Source organism: Homo sapiens, chromosome 3 (genome assembly GCF_000001405.40).
Source record: "Homo sapiens chromosome 3, GRCh38.p14 Primary Assembly".
NCBI classification, from domain to species: Eukaryota; Metazoa; Chordata; class Mammalia; order Primates; family Hominidae; genus Homo; species Homo sapiens.
The window spans coordinates 183,433,328-183,435,834 of NC_000003.12; the positions used below are offsets into that span (position 1 = coordinate 183,433,328).

The window sequence follows — 2,507 nt, forward strand, 5'->3', positions numbered from 1 at the left end:
GCGGGGCTGAGGAGGGAGAATCCCTTGAGCCCAGGAGGCTGAGGCGGCAGTGATCTGAGATCACACCACTGCCCTCCAGCCTATGTGACAAAATGAGACCCTGTCTCGAAAAAAAAAAAATCTCTAAATGATGGGGTCTGGGAGCTTCTGGATTGGTAAACACATCGAGTGCTGGGAGGGTGGTACGCCTGGAGAGGGCATGGAAGCTTTGCAGACCACCACCTCCCATACTTTGCCCTGTGTACCTCTTCCGTTTGGCTTTTCCTGAGTTGTATCCCTTACAGTAAACTGGTAATGATAAGTAAAGCACTTTCCTGAGTTCTGTGAGTCATTCTAGCAAATTATCAAACCTGAGGAGGAAGTCAGGGGAACTCTCAATTTATACCCAACCAGGCTGAGGATTTGTAATTGGTGTCTTAATTGAGGGGCAGTCTTATGGGACTGTGCCCTTAACCTGTGGTGTCTATTCTAACTCTAGATAGTTAAAATCAGATTTGAATTGAATTGCTGGACACCCAGTTAGTGCCAGAGAATGAAAAGTGGCGTTGGAAAAGATCCCACTTACTCCACAGCTGATTGAATAGACGAACCTAAGAACTGACATGACGCCGGGCGCGGTGGCTCACGCCTGTAATCCCAACACTTTGGGAGGCCGAGTTGAGCAGATCATCTGAGATCGAGAGTTCGAGACCAGCCTGACCAACATGGAGAAACCCTGACTCTACCAAAAATACAAAATTAGCCAGGCATGGTGGCTCATGCCTGTAATCCCAGCTACTCAGGAGGTTGAGGCAGCAGAATCGCTTGAACCTGGGAGGCGGAGGTTGCGGTGAGCCGAGATAGCACCATTGCACTCTAGCCTGGACAACAAGAGCAAAACTCCGTCTCAAAAAAAAAAAAACAAAAGAAGTGACACGTTGTTGTACTTGAGTAAGTTAGAGAAAACGCCACACTTTGAGACGAATTAAGAGTCTGTTTATTTAGCTGGTGGCTAAGAGACAGCTAACGCTTAAAGTTCTCTCAGCCTTGAAGGGGCTAGATTGTTTTTTATACTTTGGTTTAGAAAGGGGAGGGGGAGTCTAGTTAAAACAATTTTACAGAAGTAAAGTAGGCAAAAAAGTTAAAAGGATAAATGGTTACAGGAAAGTAAACAGTTCCAGGTGCAGGGGCTTTAAGACTATTACAAGGTGATAGACGCGGGGCTTTGGGCGTTATCAATCGGACGAATTCCTGGGCACTGCGGATATAGCTCGCCAGAGTATCTTATCAGTTAATTGCATTCTTGGATGTGCTGGGAGTCAGCTTGCACAAGTTAAGTCCTTGAGGAAGGGGCTGCCAGTGAAAGAGCCAAGATAAAGTCTGTCGGGCTCTTTTAGCTAAAAGAGAGTCAGTTCAGGTAGAAACAAAGTTAGGTGATTAAAGGAAAAAGAAAGTCTAAAAACAAGGTTAGTAAAAACAAGGTTAGGCATTACGATGTTACCTGAGCTCACACCATCCTAACAGTCATTCCACTGCCATCTTTTTGTTTTCTGAAATCAGCCTGCCACCCTGGCATAGGGGTGTATGTGTGCATGATGTGCACACATGGGGGGTAGGGCAGCACATCTGCCTCTACCTCTGCACTGCCACTCTCTCTTCCCATGTGTGTCCCTCTGTGGTTTTATCTCATCTCACAAGTGACTGAATTACAACACACATTTTGTGTGTGTAATGCTGAGGACATTTTGCCCCTAAATTCTTAGGAGTCTTCTTTGCCAGTAGAAGTATCCTCCTTACTGCCATCTGAGGGATTAACCCTGCATTCCCAGAGAAAACTGTGATGGCCTCCCCTGGGTCAGTTGCCTTTGCAAAACAATGCTGATTCTCTTCAGGATCCATTTGCTTCTAGACCTATAACTCAAGTCCCAGCAGGCCCCCTGTAACTCATTCAGCAGGCGAGTTACAAAGTATGCCCCATGCAGGGGTATACTATACTTCAAAAGAATAACTTGAGTTTTCTAATTTATACAGACAAAAATCTGGGGAACGTATGTGGGAATGCATATTAAAGGCATGAGATATTGACATAAAGAACATAAAGCTGGATCAGGCTGAGTGTATTGATATGGGCCCATAGAGCAGAGATTCTGCCTTTAACATTACAGCTTAGAGTTAGAAAGGATTCTAACAGTCTATTTGGTTGGTTGGCTGACGCATGGACAAAAAGGTGGCTCATGCATTCAACATATGTTTATGTGTTGAAATCCTAATCCCTAAAGTGAGTTAGAAATTCCTGACCTGCCTTGGCTTAATATAGAGGAAGGGATTCAAAGGCTTAGGGAGATTGGATTGTTAGAGCAGATTCATCATTTAAGACCTACTCACCCACCTTGGCAGGGTACAAGAGATACCTCTTTCACCACAACTGTGAGAAATGTCTGAGGGGAGCCCTGGCATTCTTAGAGCTCTGTGATCTTTCTTTTCTGTAGCCAGGCCTTACAGTGGGAACTACAGTCACTGAGTTGGGA

At 45.1% G+C, this 2,507-nt stretch overlaps 1 annotated feature.

Moving 5' to 3' along the window:
• Positions 1,104–2,044: an enhancer, noted in NCBI's record as "OCT4-NANOG-H3K27ac-H3K4me1 hESC enhancer chr3:183152219-183153159 (GRCh37/hg19 assembly coordinates)". NCBI's record gives its function as "activates a minimal SCP1, AML or CMV promoter by ChIP-STARR-seq in primed H9 embryonic stem cells {active_cell/tissue: H9 hESC(primed)}" and the evidence as "EXISTENCE:reporter gene assay evidence [ECO:0000049][PMID:30033119]".